The 26648-nt window shown below is 37.2% G+C and overlaps 1 long non-coding RNA gene across 1 annotated transcript in view, besides 1 other annotated feature; it reads right to left on the minus strand.

Annotated features, from left to right (window-relative positions):
- Positions 13757-14308: an enhancer, noted in NCBI's record as "NANOG hESC enhancer chr3:191715521-191716072 (GRCh37/hg19 assembly coordinates)". NCBI's record gives its function as "activates a minimal SCP1, AML or CMV promoter by ChIP-STARR-seq in naive H9 embryonic stem cells {active_cell/tissue: H9 hESC(naive)}" and the evidence as "EXISTENCE:reporter gene assay evidence [ECO:0000049][PMID:30033119]".
- LOC105374277 (uncharacterized) overlaps positions 21089-26648 on the minus strand; it is a 32373-nt gene continuing 26813 nt past the window's right edge. Inside the window, exons 3-4 of the long non-coding RNA XR_924827.2 lie at positions 24547-24742; positions 21089-21262 (exon numbers count right to left, since the gene is read on the minus strand). This is a non-coding gene — a long non-coding RNA (uncharacterized LOC105374277). The remainder of the gene's footprint in view (positions 21263-24546; positions 24743-26648) is intronic.

Below are 26648 nucleotides of genomic sequence, written 5' to 3' on the forward strand. Positions count from 1 at the left end.
ACAATCTAATATATCAATAATCTCAGAAGAAATGGAAGTGAAGATTAAAATATGTAAACCCAGAAATATTTCATAAATAAAATTAAATAGTAAAATAATGTACAAAAGAAGTTATTACACAAACATATGAAGGTTAATCCTCAAAGTTATTTTTAAAAGTAATAAAAATTTGAACAAAATATAGTTGTCAAAATCTCTATAAAATAAGCAGTTGTATTAAAAGTATATTATACAGGGCTGGTAATGGTATGGAAGAATGACATACATATTTATGCACTTTAGGTAAGAGTGTTCAATTATGTGCTATTTTTGAAAAATGTTTTGTCATTATATTCAAGAACCTTAAATATATTCTTATGTTTTGACCCAGTAATTACCTTCTGTGAAATTAAATTAAACAGAATACTTCTAAATATATAAGATTAGTGCAAAAGTGTATTAATTGCTACAATATATGTAACAAATAATCTAGTTAAGCAATAATATGTATATGATTAAATAGAATATAAATAATTAATATTATCAGAAAAACCAAGGTATATCAAATTTTAGTAAGTCCTAGACTGAACTTGTGATCTTCCCCCTAAAACCTGTTCTTCCTGAAGTTGATCTCAAATGAATTAACTAAGGCAAACCCAGACTTATCATTTCCTTAGGTCAGAAATCTTGTCCTTATCTTCGGCTGCTTCCAAATTCTACACCCAGTTTATCACCAACTGTGCCTAAACGCACATTTAAAAATTATCTGAGTCCTCACTGCTTTCACTGTGGTCCAAGTGCCATCACCTCTTGCCTCGATTATTGAAGTTGTCTCCTATGTAGTTACCTTGCCCTTCAACCCTCTATAGTCTATTCTCTGCACAGCAGTCAGAGTGATCCTATTAAATGAGAAGTCAAATCATGCTACTCCTCAACTCATAACCTTCCAGAGGCTCCTTAATTCCCTATGAGTAAAAGTTAAAATCTTTATAACGGTCTACAACAATGCTCTCCAATAGAAATATAAAGGTAGCCACAGTTTTTTATTTTATGTATTTATGTGTTTATTTTTGTTTATTTTATTTTTTTTTTTTTTGAGACAGAGTCTTGGTTTGCGTCATCTCGGCTCACTGCAACCTCCACCTCTGGATTCAAACGATTCTCCTGCCCCAGCCTCCCAAGTAGCTGTAATATAGAAATACATTTTTTGAAAGAAGTTCTTTTTTGAAATATTAAAGACAATATTCTCTTTCCCTTTGGCTACCTTAAATATGGATTAACAAAAACAAACAAAAACCAAGAGAGACAGAGAGAGAAATGAATAAATGGATGTCCTAAATGTAATACCATTGGTGTCCCTCAGCCTTATACCTCCCGAGTAGCTGGGATGACAGGCGCGAGCCACCACACCCAGCTAATTTTTGTATTTTTAGTAGAAATGGGTTTCACCACGTTGTCCAGTCTGGTCTCAAACTCTTGACCCCAGGTGATCCACCTGCCTCGACCTCCCAAAGTGCTGGGATTACAGGTGTGAGCCACCGTGCCCAGCCAGTAGCCACAATTTTTTCTAGTAACCACTTAAAAAATAAAAAGGAGCAGATCAATTAATATTTAAATATACTATATTTTACCCAATAAATATATTATCATTTTGCTATATAATCCACATAAAAATGTATTAATGAGATAATTATTCTTTTCTCTATAGTAGGTAGTCTTCGAAAGTCAGTGTATATTTTTCATCTAATACGTACCTCAATTTAGACAAGCACTCAAGAACTCAACAGCTAGCCAAAAGTGACTAGTGGCTACCACAGTGAAGCATAGAACTCTAAAGTCCGATATGGCCTACTACCTGCCCTCAACTCTGTGAGCTTATCTCAGAATACTCATCTCCTCACTCAATGTGCTGGAGCCACACTGGACTTCCTAGTATTCCTGGCACATACCAGCCCAGTTATTTCCGTGCAGCTATCCCATGACTCATTGCTTCACTTTATAAAGATCTTTGCTTAAATGACAGTTTTTCAGAGAACATTGCCTGATTACTCTCTTAAAAATTGAACACAAGTCTCCAGCATTTTGTTTTACTTTATTTTTTTCTACAACATTTATCACCTAACATATTCATATACTTTACTTTTTCTATATTCTACCCCTAGGATTTAAGCTCCATTATGTTACCAGGGCAAAATATGTTACCTATTTTGATCATTTTTTGTATGAATAGGACTAGAAGAGTACTTGGAAAACACAGGCAGTGCTATATATGCAATCGTTCAACGAGGATTTGCATTCATGTCGTGGTTCATTGCCTAGGTGCTGAGTGCTGGATAAAAATTACCTCCCATCCAGACACTATAGGCTATATTTTTCTCACATGGGTTTGGCCAAACTAATGCAAGAAGCCCCAAATCCACCATTTAAGCTAGAGAACTTGCTTTGTTCCTATCTAAAGAAAAATCATTAAAATAAGATGAACACACATGTTTTCAGATTTGTATCTCTGGTATAATGGCTTTAGATTCGTAATATGCTTCATGCCTTCTCCCCCCTCCATTTTTACATACCTGTCAAAAAACAGAACACTTGTTCGGTGCTCTGAAAGTAAGGTGGCATGTATTCTTCACGATATTAATTTCAAGCATTTTTTTTTTACTAAATTAACAACGTCATCAACATCAGCATTGAAAAGTTGTCACTCAGAATAACTCTTAGCCAATTTATTCATTTTCCACCCAATACTATATGACTCTTTTTCACAACCCTACTAGCTGACTAATTTTATATGATTCTTTCTTCAGTTTTTAACAAGCAGTTGAAGAATAGTGGTGAAATTTGTTATCAGCCGGTTTTCACATAGCAAGGATTGGCTGTTGCCATGTGCAACCCTGATTGGCATCAAAAGTAGGTGTACAAGTTAAGAAGTTAAGTTTACCAAAAAATACATGGTTTGTAGCGAAAAATTACAAAGTATCTATGCTGAATCATTTTCTTTTTTTTTAGTCTATTCTAAGAAAATCTGAGTCTTTTCCTTGATTACTAAGGCAGGGTAGAAGTGCCATCCTAAGCGTATTCAATGCCAGATGCTAAGCTTTCATTTGTGCTTGTGTATACGTGTGTGCATCGACTTAGCAGATAAAATAAGCATTGAAGATCATTTCCCACTTTTTTTCCTCATTCTTGGATTTCATTTTCATTTTGCCTAACTATACCCTCATATTATTTTATATAAACTTTATGAATCCTTTAATAAATCTCTATTTGTCAAGTACACTTGAATGGTAATTTATGTATAGTTGTCCTTCAGTGTCTGTAGGGTATTGGTTCCAGAACTGCCAAGGATGCCAAAATCTGTGGATGTTCACACTCCTCATATAAAATAATATAGTATTTTCATATAACCTATGCACATTCTCCTTTATATTTTAAATCATCTCCAGAATGCTTATAATACTTAAGGCAATGTAAACACTATCTAAATAGTTGTTATAATGCTGTTTTAAATTTTTACTATTTTTATTGTTGTATTGCTATTTTTATTGTTTTCTCAAATATTTTCTATTTTCAAGTTTTAAATAATTTTACTTTACATTTTGATTTTTCACATAAGTATCTGTCTCCAAAACCAAAACTATATTCAAGGAATATCTAGGAAGTCTTAATTCCTGTCTGTCTCCAATGCCTCAATTTATTTTCTCTTCAGATAACCATCAAGTATCTTTTTTTTTCTTTATTCCCCCCAGCTTTATTGAGGTATAGTAAACATATAAAAATAGCTTATATACACAGTGTACAATATGATGTATTGATAGATGTATACATTGTGAAATGATTACCACAATCAGGATAATTAACATATCCATCACCACACATAGTTATTTTTTGGTGTATGTGAATGAGTGGCAAGAATATTTAGGGTCTACTTGCTTAGCAACTTTTAAGCATACAATATATTATTATTAACTCACTGTGCTATAAATACATCCCTAGAACTTATTCATCCTTACTCAAACTCTGTACCCTTTGAGTAACATCACCCTACTCCCTCCACCCCCACCTTCAGCTTGTAGGAACCACCATTCTACATTTTGCTTCTATGAGTTTAACTCTTTCAGATACCACATGTAAGTGAGATCATGCAGCCTTTGTCTTTCTGAGCCTGACGTGTTTTGCTTAGTGTAATGTCCTCCAGGTTTATCTATGATGCCAGAATACTTTCCTTATTTGTTGAGGCTCATTAGTACTCCATTGTGTGTGTGTTTGTCACAGTGTATTTATCCATTCATTAGTAATTGAACACTTAGATTGATTCCATGTCTTTGTTACTGTGAATAATGCTGCAATGAACATGGGGTGCAGATACCTCTTCACCATACTGATTCATTTATTTTGGATATATTTCCAGAAGTGGGATTGCTAGATCCTATTGTAGTTCTATTTTTAATTTTTTGGTGGACCTCCATACAATTGTCCATAGTGGCTGTACTAGTTTGCATTCCCCACAACAGTGTATGAAGGTTACCTTTCCTCCACAGCCTCACCAGAATTTGTTACTTTTCTTCTTGATAATAACCACACTAACAGGTATGGGGTACAATTTCATAATAGTTTTAATTTTTGTCTCCCTAATTATTAGTAATGTTGAACATTTTTTCGTATATCTGTGAGCCATTCGTATATCTTTTTTTGAGTACAAAAGTCTATTCAGATACTTTGCCCAGTTTTTGAGTTTTTACTTTTCTTACTATTGAGCTGAGTTCCTTCTATTTAGATATTAACTTTTTATCAGATATGTGATTTGAAAATATTTTCTCCCGTTCCATAGGTTCTCTCTTCACTCTGTTCTAATATTCTTTCTTTCCTTTCTTTCTCTTCCTTTCGCTTTCTCTCTCCCTTCCTTCCTTCCGTTTTCTTTCCTTCTTTCCTCCCTTTTCTTTCCTTCTTTCCTTCCTTTCTTTCTTTTCTTCCTTTCTTTTTTCCTCACACTGTTCCCCAGTGTACAGGCTAGAGTAGTGCAGTAGTGTGATCACTAAAACCTCTTCATCCCGGGTTCAAATGATCCTCCCACCTCAGCCTCCAAAGTATATTTTCAAGCCTCATTTGGTTGAATCTGCAGATGTGAAACCTAAGGACTGTAAAAGCCCAATTGTGTAGAGATTTCTAGGTTATATTTATTTTTTATCAGAACATTTGAGGCCACTGTCTTCTAAGAGCTCACTAGCTGATGAAAAGTATGATGTCATCTGGTGTTTGCTAATTTATAGATACACAATTTGAGTATTGTTTCTTTGTTTTCTCTGTAGAAGTCTTCAGACCTTCTCTTTTCACAAAAGTTTATTAGATTTCACTACATTCGAAAAAGCTTCCAGAGACAGAGACAGAGAAAGAAAGAGTCTGTGTGTGTTTTTCTTTAACAAGAGGAAGGAGGAAGTAGAGAAGAAGGAAGTTTTTACTAAGTTTATACTAACATGACGTTTTATTAGAATTAAACCAGGGTAGGTTCCAATCATGGTAGGATCATGGTGGAGGGGAGGCAGGACTATATTGCAGCTCCCACTCAGACAGTCTGACAGTGCAGTGTCTGGAGTTTCGTATCATGAACTTTTGCTCCAGAATGACTGCAGGAATGAATCAGGGAAGCAAAGAGAACCCACAGACCCTCTGAAGGAAATGGTTTGCTCCTGCAGGACCCAGGAGAAACCCCAAATACTGTGAGTGCCCAAACTGTGGAAGTGGGAAAGGGGGATCATCCAGTCTTGAACACACACCCTCACTGGGGAACCTGAAGATGTAGGTTACGGGAGAAGAATTAACCTCACCTGGGGCTGAGTCACTTTAGAGAACTGAGCAAAATACAAGGGTAGAGGAAGCAGCGGAAAAAGCCCTGTGGGCTTGCTGGATCCCCTAGCAAGCCATTTCTGCCTCACAGGGGTCCTTGGGGAGGGCTGCCAGAGCCACTGGGTAAAGGCCACATGGAGAAGGAAACCTCCAGCTGAACTTTGTAACAATTTGAACTGATCGAGAAGTCTCCTGGTTAGAACCTGGGGGGAGGCTGTGAATCCAGTGTGCAGACTCCACAGATGGGATAAGCACAAAAGCCCTATTTGCCTTCACAGCTGGGAGGCAGGTAACCTGGGGGAAGTTCTCAGCCCTGCTTGCCCACTGCCTGGAAACAAACTTGGTGCTGTTGTTGGGGGGCACAGTGGGAGTGAGAATGGCCCTTTAGGTTGTGTGGGAGTTGGGTGAGGCCTGTAACTGCCAGCTTCTGCCCACTTTCCTGACAACCTGCATGACACAGTAGAGGCAGCCATAATCCTCCTAGGAACGTAACTCCGTTGACCTGGGAACCACATACCCATCCTCACAGCAGCTTTAGCAAGACACTCCCAAGGAGAATCTGAGCTCAGTCAGGCCTTGCCCTGCCCCCACTTAATGGTCCTTCCCTACCCACCCTAGTAGCAGAAGACAAAGGGCATATACTCTTGGGGGTTTTAAGGCCCCACCCACCACCTGTTACCCTGTTCCTCCCCACACTATCACTGCCAATGCCCTCTTGAAAGCGCTACCTCCTAGCAGAAGGCCAAACAGCACAAAAATGGTGGATTAAACAACCCAAGCTAAGGACACTCACAGAGTTCATTTCATTCCTGTGCCACCTCCACGGGAGCAGGTGCTGGTATCCACAGCTGAGAGACCCACAGACAGTTCACATCACAGGACTCTGTGCAGACAACCCCCAGTACCAGTCTGGAGCCTGGTAGACTTGCTGGCTGGCTAGATTCAGAAGAAAAAAAACAATCACTACAGTTCTGTTCTCAGGAAGCCCCATCCCTAGGAAAAGGTGGAGAGTACTACATCAAGGTAACACCCCTGGGACAAAATAACCTGAAAAACAGCCTTGAACCCTAGACTTTCCCTCTGACAGAGCCTACCCAAAAGAGAACCAACCAAAAAACCGACTCTGGTAATATGACAAAACAAGGTTCTTTAAAACCCCCAATAAATCACACTAGCTCACCAGCAATGGATCCTAACCAAGAAGAAATTCCTGATTTACCTGAAAGAGAATTCAGAAGGCTCGTTATTAAGCTTATAAGGGAGGCACCAGAGAAAGGCAAAGCCCAATTTAAGGAAATCCAAAAAATGATACAAGAAATGCGGGGAGAAATTTTCAGTAAAATAGATAGCATAAACAAAAAAACAATCAAAACTTCAGGAGACAATGAATGCACTCACAGAAATGCAAAATACTCTGGAAAGTCCCAGCAATAGAATCAAATGAGCAGAAGAAAGAACTTCAGAGCTTGGAGGCAAGGTTTTCAAATTAACCAAATCCAACAAAGACAAAGAAAAAAGAAGAAGAAAATATGAACCAACCACCAAGAAGTCTAGGACTATGTTAAACAATCAAACTTAAGAATAGTCGGCATTCCTGAGGAATAAGAGAAATCTGAAAGTTTGGAAAACATATTTGTGGGAATAATTGAAGAAAACTTCCCTGGTCTTGCTAGAGACCTAGACATCCAAATACAAGAAGCTCAAAGAACACCTGGGAAATTCATCACAAAGAGATCATCGCCTAGGCACGCTGTCATCAGGTTATCTGATAAAGGAAAGGATCTTAAGAACTGTGAGACAGAAACACCAGGTAACCTATGAAGGAAAACCTATCAGGTTAACAGAATATTTCTCGGCAGTTACCCTACAAGCTAGAAGTGATTGGGGCCCTATTTTCAGCCTCCTCAAACAAAATAATTATCAGCCAATAATTTTGTATCAAGCAAAACTAAGCTTCATAAATGAAGGAAAGATACAGTCTTTTTCAGACAAACAAATGCTGAGAGAATTCTCTACTACCAAGCCAGCACTATAAAAACTGCGAAAAGGAGCTCTAAATATTGAAAGAAATCCTGGAAACATATCAAAACAGAACCTCTTTAAATTATAAATTTCATAGGACCTATAATACAAAAATACAATTAAAAAAACAAGGTATACAGGCAACAAATATCATGATGAATGGAATGGTACCTCACATCTCAATATTAACATTGACTGTAAGTGGCCTAAATATTCCACTTAAAACATGCATAGGCCAAGCGCAGCGGCTCATGCCTGTAATCCCAGCACTTTGGGAGGCTGAGATGGGTGGATCATGAAGTCAGGAGGTCAAGACCATCCCGGCTATCACAGTGAAACCCCATCTCTACTAAAAATACAAAAAATTAGCCAGGCGTGGTGGCGGGTACCTGTAGTCCCAGCTACTTGGGAGGCTAAGGCAGGAGAATGGCGTGAACCCAGGAGGCAGAGCTTGCAGTGAGCTGAGACCTCGCCACTGCACTCCAGCCTGGGAGACAGTGCGAGACTCCGTCAAAAAAAAAAAAAAAAAAAAGATACCTAATTGCAGAATGGACAAGAATTCACCAACCAACAATCTGCTGCCTTCAAGAGACTTACCTAACACATAACGACTCACATAAACTTAAGGTAAAGGGGTGGAAAAATATATCCCATGCAAATGGACACCAAAAGCAAGCAGGAGTAGCTATTCTTATATCTGACAAAACAAACTTTAAAGCAACAGCAGTTAAAAAAGATAAAGAGGGACATTATATAATGATAAAAGGCTGTGTCCAACAGGGAAATTTCACAATCCTAAATATATATGCAAGTAACATGGAGCTCCCAAATTTATAAAACGATTACTAATGGACTTAAGAAATGAGACAGACAGCAACACGATAATAGTGGGGGACTTCAATACTCCACTGACAGCACTAGAGAGTTCATCAAGACAGAAAGTCAACAAAGAAACAATGGATTTAAACTATACCCTGGAACAAATGGACTTAACAGATATTTACAGAACAGTATACCCGTTTATAGAACATTCTACCCAACAACTGCAGAATATACATTCTATTCATCAAATGGAACTTTCTCCAAGATAGACTATCTAGTAGGCCACAAAACAAGACTTAATAAATTTAAGAAAATTGAAATTATATCAAGCACTCTCTCAGACCACAATGGAATAAAACTGAAATCAACTCCAAAAGGAACCTTCAAAACCATCCAAATACATGTAAATTAAATAACATGCTCTTGAATGCTCATTGGGTCAAAAATGCAATTAAGATGGAAATTTGAAAATTCTTTGAACTGAATGACAATAGTGACACAGCCTATCAAAACCTCTGGGATATAGCAAAGGTGGTACTAAGAATGCCTAAATCAAAAACTCTGACAGAGCACAAACAGAAAATCTAGGGTCATATCTCGAGGAACTAGAGAAACAAGAAGAAACCAAACTCAAATGCAGCAGAAGAAAGGAAATAACCAATATCAGAGCAGAACTAAATGAAATTGCAACAAAAAGAAAATACAAAAGATAAATGAAATAAAAAGCTGGTTCTTTGAAAAGATAAATAAAATTGATGAACCATTAGCATGATTCACCAAGAAAAGAAGAGAGAAAATTCAAATAAGCTCAATTATAAATGAAACGGGAGATATTACAACTGACACCACAGAAATACAAAAGATCATTGAAGGCTACTATGAATATTTTTACATGCATAAACTAGAAAACCTAGAGGAGATGGATAAATTCCTGGAAAGATACAAGTCTCCTATCTTAACTCAGAAAGAATTAGATACCCTGAACAGATCAATAATAAGCAGTGAGATTAAAATTGCAATTAAAAAAAAATTACCTCTCAGGGGAACCACCCCCTATATTTCAATGTAGGTTCTTTTCTATTTTCCCTAAGTGTCAACTGGTCTGAGAAATAAAGGGAAAGAGTACAAAAGAGAGAAATTTTGAAGCTGGGTGTCTGGGGGAGACATCACGTGTCAGCAGGTTCTGTGATGCCCCTCAAGCCGCAAAACCAGCAAGTTTTTATTAGTGATTTTCAAAGGGGAGGGAGTGTACAAACAGGGTGTGGGTCACAGAGATCACATGCTTCACAAGGCAATAAAATATCACAAGGCAAATGAAGGCAGAGAGAGATCACAAGACCAGGGTGAAATTAAAATTGCTAATGAAGTTTCATATCCCAAGGGGCACGCATTGTCATTGATAACATCTTATCAGGAGGCAGGGTTTGAGAGCAGACAACTGGTCTGACTAAAATTTACTAGGCAGGAATTTCCTCATCCCAATAGGCCTGGGAGTGCTGCGGGAGACCGGGGCTTATTTCATCCCTTATCTACAAACGTATAAGACAGACACTCCCAGAGCAGCCATTTTAGAGACCTACCCCTGGGAATGCATTCTCTTTCTCAGGGCTGTTCCTTGCTGAGAAAAAGAATTCAGCAATATTTCTCCTATTCACTTTTGTAAGAAGAGAAATATGGCTCTGTTCCACCTGGCTCTCAGGCAGTCAGACCTAATGGTTATCTCCCTTGTCCCCTGAACATCACTGTTATCCTGTTCTTTTATTGAGGTGCCCAGATTATATTGTTTAAACACACATGCTTTATGAACAATTTGTGCAGTTAATGCAATCAACACAGGGTCCTGAGGTGACATACATCCTCAGCTTACGAAGATGATGGGATTAAGAGATTAAAGTAAAGACAGGCATAGGAAATCACAAGAGTATTGATTAAGGAAGTGATAAATATCCATGAAATCTTCACAATTTATGTTCAGAGACTGCAGTAAAGACAGGCGTAAGAAATTATAAAAGTATTAATTTGGGAACTAATAAATGTCCATGAAATCTTCACAATTTATGTTCTTCTACCATGGCTTCAGCCGGTCCCTCTGTTCGGGGTCCCTGACTTCCCACAATAATTACCAATAAAGAAACGTCCAGGACCAGATGGATTCACAGCAGAATTCTACCAGACATTCAAAGAAGAATTGGTACCCATCCTATTGACACTATTCCACAAGATAGGGAAAGAGGGAATCCTCCCTAAATCATTCTATAAAGCCAGCATCACCCTAATACCAAAGCCAGGAAAGGCCATAACCAAAAAAGAAAACTACAGACCAATATCCCTGATGAGCATAGATGCAAAAATCCCTAAAAAAATTTAGCTAACTGAATGCAACAACATATCAAAAAGATAATCCACCATGATCAAGTGGGTTTCATATTAGCGATGCTGAGATGGTTTAACATATGCAAGTCAATAAATGTGATACACCTCATAAACAGAATTAAAAACAAAAATCACATGATCATCCCAGTAGATGCAGAAAAAGCATTTGAAAAAATCCAGCATCCCTTTATGGTTAAAACTCTCAGCAAAATCAGCATACAAGGTACATACCTCAATGTAATAAAAGCCATCTATGAGAAACCCACAGCAATATTGTATATTCTCATCCAAAAGTGGGAACTAAGCTATGATGATGCAAAAGCATAAGAATGACACAATGGACTTCGGGGACTTGGACAAAGGGCAGGAAGGGGGTGAGGGATAAAAGACTACAGACTGGGTGCAGTGTATACTTCTCAGGTGATGGCTTCACCAAAATCTCACGAATCACCACTTAAGAACTTACTCCTGTAAACAAACACCACCTGTTTCCAAATAACCTATGGAAATAATTTTAAAAAATTTTTTTACTACATTCTATCTTTCTCCTTTAACCCTGTTTAGCACTGTATGTATTTCTTCTGAGGTTTCTTCAAAGCTTCCCTGCTTTATTTTCACTTAGATGGATGTCGTCTCTCTATATCTTTCATCTTTTCTGTCAAACTTTACATCTTTGTTTAAATAATATTCTACAAGATTTACTTGATCTTTTCTCCAGTTCTACTGTTAACTTCTAAAAATTTGGCCAATATTTTAAATTGACATTAACTCTTCCTTTTTGAAGGTTTCTCTTTTCTAAAAGGAGCATATTTGTTTGTTTAATGAAAGAAAAATCTTTGAATTGCTGTAAGCATTTAAACAAAATGCATTTAAAGTTATATTTTCTTCCATGAATTTTACTGATTTATCCAGAGCCAGTTGTCTTTTTCTTTTCTTTTTTCCCCTTTTTCATTGTCTTTTGTGTTGCTAGCTTTGATTAAATTTCTGCTAATTGATTTATGTTTACTTATTTGTATATTTTTAAACAAAAAATTGGGTTAAACTGCTTAGGTAGGTGGTATGGGTTTTCTCTTCTTTCTTTATTATCTATTCAGAGTGAGAATCTTGACTATAAGAACAGAAGGTATTAGTAGGTGTTATATTTTGGATGTTTGTTTCCTCCAAATCCCGTGTTGAAATTTGATTCCAATGTTGGAGGTGGGGTCTAATAAGTGTTTGGGTCCTGGGCACGGATTCCTCATGAATAGATCAATGTCTTCCCTGGAGCGGGTGTGGGGGTGGTGAGTGGGTTCTCACTCTATTAGTTCCTGCTAGAGCTGGTTGTTAGAAAGTGCCCAGCACCTCTACTGCTCTCTTGTTTTCTCTTTCACCATGTGATCTCTACAAAACAGCTCCCCTTCACCTTCCACCATGAGTGGAAGCAGCCTGAAGCCCTCACCAGAAGCAAATGCTGGTGCCATGTTTCTTGTTCAGTCTGCAGAATGAGCCAAATGAGTGTCTTTTTATCCTCAGATATTCCTTTATAGCAACACTGAATGGAATAAGACAGTGGCATAAATACAATGCCATGCTTTATTTCATAGAGGTGCGATGCAAACAAATTAGACCCTTTCTCCACTCACCCTCAATGCCGAAATAAAAGGTATTTCCATTCCATAAGTCATAGTCTATTCCAAACAGATCTTTTCATCTCTTTACAGACTCTCTTTCTTCAGCAAAAAGAAAAATGGCCAAATAAGAAATCAGTGCACCAAATTCATATTCATATTTTCTTGTTGTTTCTACTGAAATATATTGCCTTTCCTTCAATGAATAGATAAGTTGAAAAATTAAGTGGATATTGCATATCCAATTTTCTAAAGACTTAAACTCATGATAACAAAATTCGAACTCCTACAAGCAAATGTGAGCACTAGAATGAATAGTTCTTTTGTTCATATAGATAGATTGTAAGTGCACAGCTGTTTGTGGCAGGAAGGAAACAATAAAAAGGAGAAAAGTAAAAGTACCACATTAATCCATTGTGTTATTATTCTGCAGTTAATTCCCGAGGCAGAATCTTCTTGAAAACAGCAGGAGTCTCTCAGGCCACTGCACATTCCTTTAGCACATGGTACCCAATCCAAAATGTAAACAAGGTAGAATACCTGAAATTTGAACACTCTGTTGGTAAAAGCCTATGACACCAGGGAAAATCTCAGACCAATCTACTCTCCCAGTACAAGACTCACAATTTAGTGAGTATGCCTATTGAAATCTGCAATGTTACTAAGCAAACACATGGTGAGATAATGTGTTTACATAAATGTTGGAAAAAGTACCAAAGATCTGCTGGGCCCAAATTCTATGAGGCAATTCCAATAATTTCTTACATTGCTTCAGTGCTTCAGCCTCACAATAGTCCTGTAAAGTATAAAATATTGAGATTATCAAATCTGTCCTATTATAAAGGAAAAGATATAAGTAGAGAAACTAAGTAATTTGGCCAAATTCACAGAGCTAGAGAATGTTGAAGCCATAATTCCAACCCCCAGTTCTATGGATTTCTGGTCCAACATTCTTCTCCCAACAACACAGGGAAAGACAGCTTGATAAGCTCCCAAATATATACAGCAACAAGAGTGAAAATAATCCAATAAAGTCTTAAAATTTTTGGTTTCCTTATGAAGTCTTTCTGTGGCCACAGTAAGCCTAAAGTCATGTTTATTTTTTTCTCCTATCCCAGTTGCATGCCCTAGAAATGCACAGCTGCATATCTCTCTTTCAGAAGAGAACTAAGACATTCTCAAGATATAGCTGTGATATATTCATCCTAGAGCTTGTACCTGAGCAGCAGGAACCAAGACTCTTTCAGTAAAACAGCAGGCACCATCTTTCATCTCACTCAACTTGTCTGAAAGTCTAGGAACCAGAGCTGAAGAATAAAAGGAACAATGAAATGTAATCTCTCCTGCTATTTTCCCTCACCCCTTGATACAGTTTTCTGATTTGTTTCAATGTCTTTGAAGTACATAAAGGAAACGTCAACAAGACACACAACAGTAGTAGTAGAACAGCAGGCACTTAGAAGCTTTAGGATTTGTGCTAGCTTGGCATTTCCAAAAGGCATTCCTTTGGGGATCAAAATACTGAACACAAAGCCTGTATGCTCTGCAGGGAAACCTGATGCCTGGGCAAAGTCAAGCCATTTCAAAGGTTCATAGTATCACTTTGGGAAAATCAAAAGGTATTTTTTGAAACTCTAAATCTAGAGCTTAGCACTTTTGACAAGTCATTCAAACCTTACACTATAAAGGTAGGCCCCTCTGGAATTGCAACCACAATTGATTTTAACAATTAAGGGTAAACAAAATGTTATCCTACAACATGGAAGCAGCAAATTGCCATTTTGAAAACCACTCTTTGGCAATCAAGCTGAAACTTCATGAAAATTGTTTTCTCTTTGCTTATTCACCATGTGACAAACTCAATAATGAAATCGTAGTTCTCAAAGGCAGAAAAAGCAGACTTTGTAGATATTCAACCCTGAATACCTTCATGAACTCCAACTCACTGACTGCATCCGTGGGCCATTTCATCAATCAAGAAAACCAATCCCAAAATATCCCCCCAAAATGGTAACATTAGCATATGAAAGCAAGAGAGCAAGTGTTATCTAAATCACTCTTCAGTATTGTAAAGTATTGTAAGGTGGTGTTTCAATATATAGTATACCTATTTACTATTTAAAGCCCAAATGAAGACGTAGAGCTTGAACATTTAGAGGAGGGAGGGAAAAGTAATAGAGCGTAAGGTTGATGGTATAAGCCAGGGTGCCTGAAGTTAGTAAAAGTACAGTTTTGTGTTAAAAATGGGGAATAGTCTCATGCAGTATGAATGTAATGCTAAGTGTAATGAAGTGGTAAACAAAATAAGTCAGTTTCAGATCCTCAGATGTTGTAGTACTCTCAACCAGTTCCAACTTTTGTATTGTTAAGCTCCAGGCTCCCTTTCCAGGGCATGAGATGCTTGTCTTTTTGCAAAAGGCTCAGGGAATCTAACTGCTTAGGGCAGCTGTTCACATACAGCTCATTCGAATCCACTCTAGGCTGACAGTATTCAGATCTTTTTTTATGTAATAAAAAGAAGTCTGCAGGTAAGAGTCCTAATATCTCAAGCAAGCACAAAGATCACACTTTTTCTTTTCTTTTTCTTTTTTAATAAAGAAGTTACCCAAACCTTAGCTACTTAATTTGACCACACTATAGAAGTAATGTAAGTTATAAATAATTAATACCTTTAAAACATATAGCTCTAAATAACTGCTAAATTATGAATGGCTAATATGAACATTTATTTTTGCACACCAAACTGAGATAGCTCTCTAAAAGAACAAAATGTTGTATCTAGAACTTACATGTGCTAATATCTAGTAAATAATAGTATAGCTGAAAAGAAGGTAGAAAATATTTTTTGCAAATACTTAAAGATTGAAATGTTATTAATAAATGTTAATAAGTGTTAAGCAAGTATTTATAATTCACTTTGCAGGTTTAAGACAGATAAGAAAGTCTTTTGATGCATTTAAAATTTTAAAGACAAACTACTAGCTTTTCAGATAAAAATCAGTTATTTTGTAGGTAGAGTAATAGAAAAAATCTTAACATTTTATTATATAAATTATAGTACCAAATTAGTTTTTCTTCAATTACATAGCAATTGGTATCATTGTAAGAAAAAAAAAATTGATCATTCTTGGGTGTAGGAAAATAAGATTAGCCACCCTGGCAACATGGCAAAGCCGTGTCTCTACTAAAAACACACAAAAAAATAAAAAAATTAGCCCGGCGTGGTGGCTCACACCTGTAACCGCAGCTACTTGGGAGGCTGAGGTGGGAGAATTGCTTGAACCTGGTAGGCAGAGGCTGCAGTGAGCTGAGATCACATCACTGCACCCCAGCCTGGGTGACAGAGCAAGACCCTGCCTCTAAATAAATATAAATAAATAAATGAGATGAGACAAAAAAATTTCTTCAAGTAGAATGATGATAGACTTTGATTTTCATATTACAGAAGAAATTATGTTTATACAGATAATGATCTCCAAAGTAAATAGGTCCCCTTGTTAATTCCAGATTAATATTAAGAAGAAAATCCTACAAATATTTTAACAAAGTGAAATATATTTTGTAGTTCTCAATAGTAAATATTTCAAATTAGAATTCTCAGTTCTTACTAGCACCAAATGCAAAACAAAAAGATAATAACTTCATTAATATTAAATGAGATAAGATACAGTCTCATATTTGTGAAGATTAAAAATATCAGCATGGAACATTATATTAAAATTAATTGGTCACTATTGTTTGCAACTTATTTTATTGATAATTTAAATAAAAATAATGTAATCCATATATTGTGATATATATTATAGTTAATATATAATACTATTTTAATTTGCTATAAATTATTTTTAACCCACATTTAAGTTCCACAAGTTCACTTCCAAAAAGTCGAGCACTTGAATGTAAACATATTAAGATGTACCTTGCTATGGAGTTTTAGTAAGAAGCACTGCCAGACTAAGCTGTGACCATTACTGGAAAATATTCTGGGCCAGTGATGGTCTTTCATGCCTGTAATCCCAGCACTTTGGGAGGCCAAGGTGGGTGTATCAATTGAGGTCAGGAATTTGAGATCAGGATAGCCAGGCATGTTGCCACGTGCCTTTAATCCCAGCTACTTGAGAGGCTGAGGCACGAGAATCACTTGAACCTGGGAGGCTGAGGTTGCAGTAAGCCCAGATCACTCTGTCTCAAAAAAAAAATTCTGTATTAGTAAGAATTGGCTAGCTCAAGCTGTGCAAATAAACTGAAATGCCACTGACTTCACACAGAAAAGCTTACTTCTTACTGATTCAAGGTCCTCTGAAGACTCTCCCATAGGCAGCTCCCTTCCATTGGTGACTATAGTAGAAATAAAACCTACTTCTAACTTGAGGCTCCAACATGCCACATAGTTTCTAGGATGCCACAGAGTGGGAAAAGAGAGCTAGAGGATGATGTAGAGTGGTCTGCTCCCTCAGTTCTAAGTGACACATGCCATTTCTCTTCACTGCGCATTAGCCAGATATCGTCACATGTCACCACCAAAACAAAGGGCTAGAAGGTGTAGTCTTCTGTTTGACCAGGATGGAGAAGAATGCAAGACATTAAGGAGTACTGGTTATATCTAACACATCTCCCACCGTGCTCATTTTTTTGTTTATATCTTCTTTGGTGATTTCTGTTCCTTATTGCTACCCAAAGAAATGCTCTCTTACTTCAAAATAATATCTCAAGTTCCTGTCTTCTTCAGTACCTTGAATGGCAATATAAGAATATAAGGTGTTATAACTAAATTCCCCTACACCAATAAATGCTGACACATGCTTTGTTGTATGATAAATTATATTAATCTTGACAGCTTGTTTTTTCTCTTTATTGAGTACATATCAAATGCCAAATGCACTGTTCTTTAATCTATAATGCCAACTTGTGATACGGATATTTTATTCCTCTTTTGATAATCAAAAAGTGTTATACACAGAAGCAAATCAACCAATGTCACATAGCCAATATGTTGCCAAACCAATCAATTCACTCTTGAGTCTATCTGACACCAAAAACTGTGCTCTTTGTGACACAATACATTGCCCATGCTTTTCTACTCCTCTCATGTCCTTTCTCCCCTTATCAGATGGATATAAAGTGTAAATTCCTCTGGAAATTTGACAAAAATAATTCAACCAAGTCATCACAAATCAAGGAATAAGAGACTAATTTTAGGATGACGGGCTAAAAGCAAGGAGTACTTGAACTTGGCATCAAAAGCACAACCCATAAAAGAAAAAACTGATAAGTTAGAGCTCATCAATTTTTTTTTTTTTTTTTTTTAGACAGAGTCTCACTCTGTCGCCCAGGCTGCAGTGCAGTGGCTCGATCTTGGCTCACTGCAAGCTCCGCCTCCCGGGTTCACGCCATTCTCCTGCCTCAGCCTCTCTAGTAGCTGGGACTACAGGCATCCGCCACCACGCCCGGCTAATTTTTTGTTAAAATCCTACAAATATTTTATTAAAATAGTAGAGACGGGGTTTCACCGTGTTAGCCAGGATAGTCTCAATCTCCTGACCTCGTGATCCGCCCACCTCGGCATCCCAAAGTGCTGGGATTACAGGCGTGAGCCACTACACCCAGCCCTCATCAATTTTTTTAACTATTATTCTATAGAAGACCATGTGAGGAAAGTAAAGGCATTTTCTATAGACTGGAAAAAATATTTGGAAATCACGTATCCAATGAAAAAACTAGTAGCTAGAATATATAAAGCATTCATATAATTCAACATCTTGTAATAAATTGGGCAAAAGACATGAACAGACATTGCATCAAATAGTATAAACAGATGTCAAATAAGCACATGAAAGGATGTTTGACATTATTAGTCATTAGGGAAAGGTAGAGTAAAATCACGTTGAGATCACTGCACACCTATCAGAATGACTAAAACCAAAAATAGTGAAAACACCAAATTTTGGTAAGGGTGTAGATAAATCAGGTCACTCAGAAAACAATTTGGTGTTTTCTTAAAAAAAGACAGAAAAAGAAAAATACAAACAAAATAAACAGCCAACTATCATATAACAACTCTATTTGGGAACAGTTATTCCAGAGAAACAAAAACATGACATTCTATAAAAACGTATATTAGAAGTTTCACAGGAGCTTTATTTGGAATAGCCAAAAAATGGAAGCAACACAAATGTCCTTCAATGCATTAATGTTTAAACAAACTACAGTACATCCAGTGATAGGGTCAGATGTAGACATCTACCAGTTAATTGGCAATGGCTAAAGTTTTCACCCAATGGGCAGTCACATGGAAGGAATGAAATTGGATAATTATTGACAAAGAAGACTGATAAAGAGATATGAGCCAAAGGTGAGAATATTTATATCTTATGTGAATACTCACCAAAAAGGACTCCTCTGTAGTAGAGTTACAAAAATGTGAAAATTGTATTGTAGTCGTAGTCTCTTTCTTCAAGTACTTTAGTATTTGCTCAAAGGGCTCCTGAATATAGTCAGGAAGGTAAGTTAACTATAAGCTCAACAACATGGATTTCACCTCGCTATGGTGAGGACAATATGGACTGTGTCTAATCTGCCAGAATCATTGAAAAATACTAAAATCCACAAGGGGGGCAATACCTAACCATAAAGTTCTGAGCATAATCAGCTGCAAACATCAACTGATGAAAATGCTATTTTGCTACAGCATTCCCTTGGCATCGCTCCTGGACAGCTGTTCCCAAAGGCATATTTTTCCTAGATATTTAGGATTTAAGCCTGGTCCCCTTGGTCTATACAGGTTTTCTGGTGCTGCCAATAGACTTCAAATAAATCACTTCCTACTAAAACTATTGGAGTGAATTTTGTTGTTTGCAACTAAGAATATTCAATGATTGTCTCAAATGGCAAACTATCATACATAATGGCAATTTGTGGAAGGAGTGTTCTTTTTTTTTTTTTTGAGCAGTGGAATTTTCTATACATTTTATATTCAACTTTGGTGGGACTTAAATCCAAGTTTTTAAAGCCAACCAAAACACAGGTGAGAAGCCAAAGGCCACTCTCCTCTCAAGCAAAAATAATTTGAGAGGCAGTGTTCACTTTCCTCATGAATGCCAAATATATTCTTTTCAGTTTTCTTAATAATCTCTTACAATCACTCCTTCTATTTATCTTCTGGTTTAAAAATTGTTTGCCCCCTGCACACAGGCTGCTATAAAATCACATTTTTTTTTTTAACTCAAGTGGGTTTTATCAGAAATCAATTCATTGGGATACCACATGTGCTTTGAATCTAAGCTTTTTATTTTATTTTCATTTGTATAATGCTATAACTGAAATAACTTTAAAGATCACTAATTCGACATCTTCAAATTATAGAAAAACTGGAACCTAGACAGGGAATGTGAATTGTCTATGGTCAGTAATGTTTGGTAAAGCTTGGCTCAGGACCCCACTTCTTTGTCTTTTAACTCAGACTGCTCAATGTTTCTCTTAAATCAGAGGTTCCCTGCCATAATAATCATTGCTCTATCATTACCCAAATATGTATCTCATATTGCAATTCATATTGTTCCCAAGGTATAGAACCTAAGATTAATAATAATGCCAAGTTGAATACTATATTTGAAAAGTTTTGGTCCGGTCACAGTGGCTCACGCCTGTAATCCCAGCACTTTGGGAGGCCAAGGTGGGTGGATCAGGAGGTCAAGAGTTCGAGACCAGCGTGGCCAACATGGTGAAACCCATCTCTACTAAGAATACAAAAATTAGCCGAGTGTGGTAGCACATGTCTGTAATCCCAGCTACTCGGGAGGCTGAGGCAGGGGAATTGCTTGAACCCAGGAGGCAGAGTTTGCAGTGAGCTGAGATCACGCCACTGCACTCCAGCCTGGGCAACAGAGCAAGACTCCATCTCAAGAAAAAAAAGAAAAGTGTCACATCAAATTATTGTTAAACTATAACTTCCTCAAAAATATTTACCTTCTTTGGGCTCACGTTGTGATTATTCTGGATTCTGAATTTCCCTCACCCTTTAAATTTCCCTCTTCAAGTACCATTTTCTTTGCATTCTCATTGCTATAATTAAATGTATTGTGTTAATATGAAGAAGAAGCTTTTTCCACCTAATTGGTCTCTTTAATATGTCTTTTAAACATATGTAATTTATTCCTGGGAATGAACTTGGTTATCCTTTGCAGACAAACATCAAGGTCTACCATGCATAGATAATTCCAGAGATATATTAATTATCTCACTTAAGTAGCAGGCTGAGATGCATCAATATTCCTTTCCTCAGAAAAGTGGTGCTTATGCATTGGTAATTGAGTGATATGACAAATATATGTAAATATTAATCAATAATAGAGGTGATAAATCTAACCATATTTAAATGACCTTTGAATAACAACAAAAAAAGTCTTTTATCTAGAGATTCTTTGGCCTGTACTCAGTTCCACTGTATCTTCTTTGCCCCCAGAATGCTTTGCTTTTATACACAAAACAGTCTTCAAATGAAAATATACTGCAAATCCCAGTATTAAAAAAGAGATAAAAGTAGAGTTGCTCTGATGGACTGAAGTGTCTGCCTGACCGGAATCCTCACCTCAGTTCACACACAGGACTCTGATAGTGACCTAGGAGGAAAACAGATAACTCTTAAAAGCACAATTAAAGGTACAAGGGATTTGAGACTGAAAGGTATCTTTGAGATAATCCTGTTTATAACTCTTCAAAAATGAATGCCATTTTGCTCGAATTAGAGTAAATGTAGGAGGACAAGGAAAAACAAGTTCCTGATCATCAGTGAGAGTAGCAGCCCCTCCTGCTACCCTCCCTGACATTGAAGACATTTCTGATGACATTTTCCAGACTAATTCAGTTATATTAATGACACTGCGTGAAACATTTGGATACTTGTTGTAGCATATTTGATATTTATATTCAAACATTAATAATTTGGGACTTCACCTAATGATTCCTCTAATAAATATTTACTGAGAAGTAGAGTGAGACTTTAATTAGAGAAACTCACAAAGTGAGACTTAATGGGATTTTAATTCCAACTGTATTGCTGCTAAGTACTCGTTGATTTTTGGATGGACCCTAAACACCAGAAAGAAATGTTCCCTGGAACTTTTAAAGATAAATACTTTCGTAGTCATATAAATGGCCATTCTATTATGTTTTAAAAGTGTTACACAATTGATAATTTTGAATGAAATTTTCTGGTCACTTTAGTGAAGCAAGTCCTTTTTGACCATTTTGGTAACCATCAATTTCAACATCATGGCGAACTGACTGGGATTCCTGTTGCCACAGTTACATGAAAGCCCGAAGTGTCTATTGCTTCTTCACAGTTCATCTTCCCTTCTCCCTCAGGTGGAGCTACTTCACCTTCCACTTCAGGATTAGTTTTGTGCAAATGTAGTTAACAATCCAGTCTTTAGTCCAAAGCAACATTAAAGTTTGGCTCAGTGTTAAAGGGACTCATAATCAAGCCATCTTGACTGGTTTATATGTTCCAACTCTAGTAAAAGAGCCACTTCCTGTTTTGAGAACACCAACTCAGATAACTGGACTCTTTATTTGTTTTCCTGGGCGTGGGTCCATGTGATAAACTGTCTCTTTCCACAATGCCACCTTAGATGTTTGGATCCTATGTCTAGCTGCAATGTCATGCCAAGTACTGGGACTGTTTCCTGTATAAAAGGGTTAGATAACACTGTGAAGGGAAATCCTCAGCATCAAATTCTTACAAAGAAATAATGGAAATGATGTTGTGCTGAGAGAGAACTTCAACAAAGGTCCAGTCTTCTACTCAACATAGTAATTCAACAAGTATTTACTGAACATTTATTATATGTCAGGCATTGTTCTAAGCACTGGAGATACAGAAGCAACTAAGTCTCTAGCCTTATAAAGCACACTAAGTCTCTATCCTCATAAAACTAACATTTAAATGAGATAGCCAAACAATAAATAAATATAAAAATATACAGAATAATGTCAGGTAATAAGATGAGCTATAAAGGAAAATAATGTAGGATAAAGGGATAGAAAATGATAGCTGCTCTTTTGATAGAAAAAATATTTCTGAGGAGATGGCATTTGAACAGAAATTTGATTTATCTAAATTTATCCCTCTTTTTAACTAAGATTTAGAAAAATGGAGCCTAATAAGAGACAAACATGCCAAACGGTGCCCCAAGAACTGCTCAAGATGGATCTAAATGATCTATTCCCCCGAGGTGTAAAAAATGTGTGCTAAGAAGAGAATTTAAGGCTTCTCTTAAATTTGGTTTCAATAATATAGGAGGAATTTTCTAGATCTAACATACCCTCCTTGGTAGGCCAGAAATACCTTTTGAGATGGTTTTCATACTTTCTGCAAGAGTTAATGGTTTGGTCCCATAAATGTGAAATTAGAGAACCTGGACTCTGACCCACAAGAGAACCAAGACAAATAGAATAAATCTCCTTGTCTTAGACACAATTAAAGGAGACCTCCACCTCCAATCATTGTCTCTATCAGTAGCAGCCTCAACACCCTTACTGCTGGCTCCCCGGGATTTTAGATCCCAGTTGCAGTGCCTCTGAAGTTTTAATAATAATAAAAAAAAGCTGTTCTCTGTATCTTTCAGGAGTAACTTCAGCTTGATACCTGGAATTATTATGAACCATAGTCTTTTAAATATGAGAGAAAAGAGGAGATATTGGCCAAAGAATACCAAATTTCAGTTATAAGACAAATAGTCTGTAGATCTAATGTACAGCATGATGACTATAGTTAATATAGCAATGTGTCCTATATTCAAAATTTGCTAAGAAAGTAGATCTCAAGTATTCTCACCCCTCTGTCCCCCAACCCACCACACAAAAGATGAATAGGCCAGTTGTTGGATATGTTGGCACAATTGTGGTAGTCGTTCCACAATGTATACATTTAGCAAAAATATCACGTCGTACACCTAAAATACATACAATTTATATGTGTTAATCATACCTCAACAAAGCTAAGAACAAAGTATTAATAAATAAATAATGTCCTATTTGTCCTCCCTTTCTTCTGTTTCCTGCACTGCAGCTATAGTGATCATTCCAAAAGGAATATTTGATCCAGTCTCAACAAGATGTTAAATGACAAAATTCCTTATGTCTTGAATTTTGGATGGGAATGAATCACTATAATCACATTCTAAAGAAAGTTTCTAGATACACTCATGCGGGACTTGTTAAAACACAGCAAAGAGAATGAAACAACCATTAGAAACTCAAATATCTATTTTAATAGGAGACTAACATGTTTTAATATTAACATATTCTTTAATATTAATCCTACCCTTCCTTAAGGGAAAGATAAGAGAGGGGTATCATCAACCTCTCAAGCCAAGTGAGGAAAATGCTAAGGACAATAAAACATCTGGGAGATTGAGTTGCTTGCAAAAATTAGGGACTGCCATTTTACTTTGCTCCTGAATGTTTACTAAATTACTAAGATATACATGTAGATTACCAGACTAAAGAAATATGGGCCAGGCGCGGTGGCTCACGCCTGTAATCCCAGCACTTTGGGAGGCTGAGGCGGGAGGATCACGAGGTCAGGAAATCAAGACCATCCTGGCTAACACGGGGAAACCCCGTCTTTACCAAAAATACAAAAAATTGGCCGGGCGTGGTGGCGGGCGCCTGTAGTCCCAGCTACTCAGGAGGCTGAGGCAGGAGAATGGCGTGAACCCGGGAGGCGGAGCTTGCAGTGAGCCAAGATCGAGCCACTGCACTGCAGCCTGGGTGACAGAGTGAGACACCGTCACAAAAAAAAAAAAAAAAAAAAGAAATATGAAGACATTTGGGGATAGCTTGAGATACGGCCCCTTAGGGAGAGGTAGGGTGTATGTGTGCGTTATTTAGAAACTCATACCTGCATATTAATGGGAGGATTCTGGAGGTTAGAGGCCAGCTGGAGCAGTACTGGAGACTAGGGCAAGGAAGGAGGGTACAGCGTGACAAGCCTGCCTTCCTGCTACTTGGTGTGGTAAGCATGATGAATTTTCTATTGGCCAAATGGATGCCATGGAAAGTAGCTCTTTTAAAGAGAATTCATCTCAGTAGGATGCCTGGTGAAATAAAGAGATATCAAGGGTGAATGTGGTTACATATCCACATAGCAGCTGGAGGAGGAAGCATCTGCAAACGTTCTGTCAGAAGGTATATTTCCTAGTTGTGTGGAAACTGTCATTTGGCAGTTTCTGTGAGGCCTCCAAAGAACCCAAAAATGCAACTCATGAGAGAGTTTTTGCAAATATCAAGGGCATCAAACCAAAGAGTACAAATAAAATAGTAAAAATTACCTAAAGCCCACCCGCCTTTCTTCTGGCTTCCACTCCCCTGCCCCAGCCTCAGAAGAGTCCACAGCTTGAGAGATTATGATAATTGAAAGAGCCAGAAGAAGAGTGAGAAAACAGACTATGACTTCTTTCCCACTGCAGATCCCTGAGCCATGAGCGAGGCATCCATTTAAAAGAGGAGTGAGGCATGGAAATGAACAAGAGGCTGGCATTTTGTGGTTGGACTCGACTATATCTTTAATACATTAAAATAAGTCATAGTTATAAAAATAAGACTTCTATAACTGAATATTACCAAAAAGAAACTTCCACTTTTAGCCATGATGATGAAACAGGGACTGGATTTACACTTACAATGGAAACTATGAACAAAACCAGGTAAAATATATGAAACAACAGATTTTAGATGTTGGATATCAGGCAGCCCAAGACAGTGATTCCTGATTGAGGAGGGAAAAAATAAAGTAATTTGTGTGATAGCCCCCAGCTTACAATCTATAGAGAGTATACAGGTCATTGTGCAGGAAGAAGAACCTGAAAAAAGCCCAGCCATCATGCTAAATTAAGACAGACTGTAGGGTACAGCGATGTCATCGTGTGTAACTTTTTCTAGAGGGAGTACTGGAGGAGAAAGAGCTAAGCAAAGAGAGAGTTCTAGATCCCTATGGAGAGGCAGGGAAAGGAATCTAAAAAAGCCCAGTGGTGTCCCTAATTTAAGAGACCTGAGGGTCCAGGGATGTCAAGTTGTTCAGCTTTCTCTAGACAGAATACTGGAGAAGACAGAGCTGAGCAAACAGAGAGTTCTAGATAGCTAGCTGTAGAGAGGTCCCTCAAGTCTTCAGCTGAGTACTGGTAACCCAAGTGTGTGAGGAAAAGCAAATCTTCATGAGCAGGTGAATGGATAAATAAAGTGTTGTACACTTAATGAAATACTGCTGGTCTATAAAAAAGGGATGAACTATTGATACATGCAACTGCATGGATGGATCTCAAAATAATTATACTAAGTGAACGAAGACAAACAGAAAGAGCACATCGTGTTTTATTCCACTTACACACAATTATGGAATATGAATACCAATTTACAGTCACAGAAAGCAGATCAGGGCTGGTGAGATTAGGGTAGGGTAAGGGGGTGAGAAAAGGAGGATGACACAGAGGATGAGGAAACTTTAAGGAGTGATGCATATGTGCATTGTCTTGGTTGTGATGATGGATTCATGGGCATGTACATATGTCAAAATGTATTAAATTCCACAATTTAAATTTGTATATAGTTTTGAATTGAGTTATAACTCAATAAAGCAGTTTTAAAATGGAGGGTGACAGATCTTACTAGAATGTTTTCAAAGAAGAGAGAAAGGAAAGTAGACATCATTCAGTTAAACGTAGTCATTGGGGAAATTAGAGCCATATTTTGGTGATAGCTTCTTTGATTTCAATTTATTCTATCAATTATTCATAGCTACAAGTGGCTTAACAACGTGCTTAAAATATAATTCTGAGTTAGTAACATAATTTACAGAGTTCCCCATTATGTGGGCACACCTGTATCTCTAGTCCTTTCACACACACTACACTGCATCCCTACCATATTTTCATTCAGTGCTATTTACACTCCTGAACTTGATATACTATTTTTCACCTTCGGTTCTTCAATCATTATGTTCTCTGC

This window comes from Homo sapiens, chromosome 3, assembly GCF_000001405.40.
Source record: "Homo sapiens chromosome 3, GRCh38.p14 Primary Assembly".
In the NCBI taxonomy this organism is placed as follows: Eukaryota; Metazoa; Chordata; class Mammalia; order Primates; family Hominidae; genus Homo; species Homo sapiens.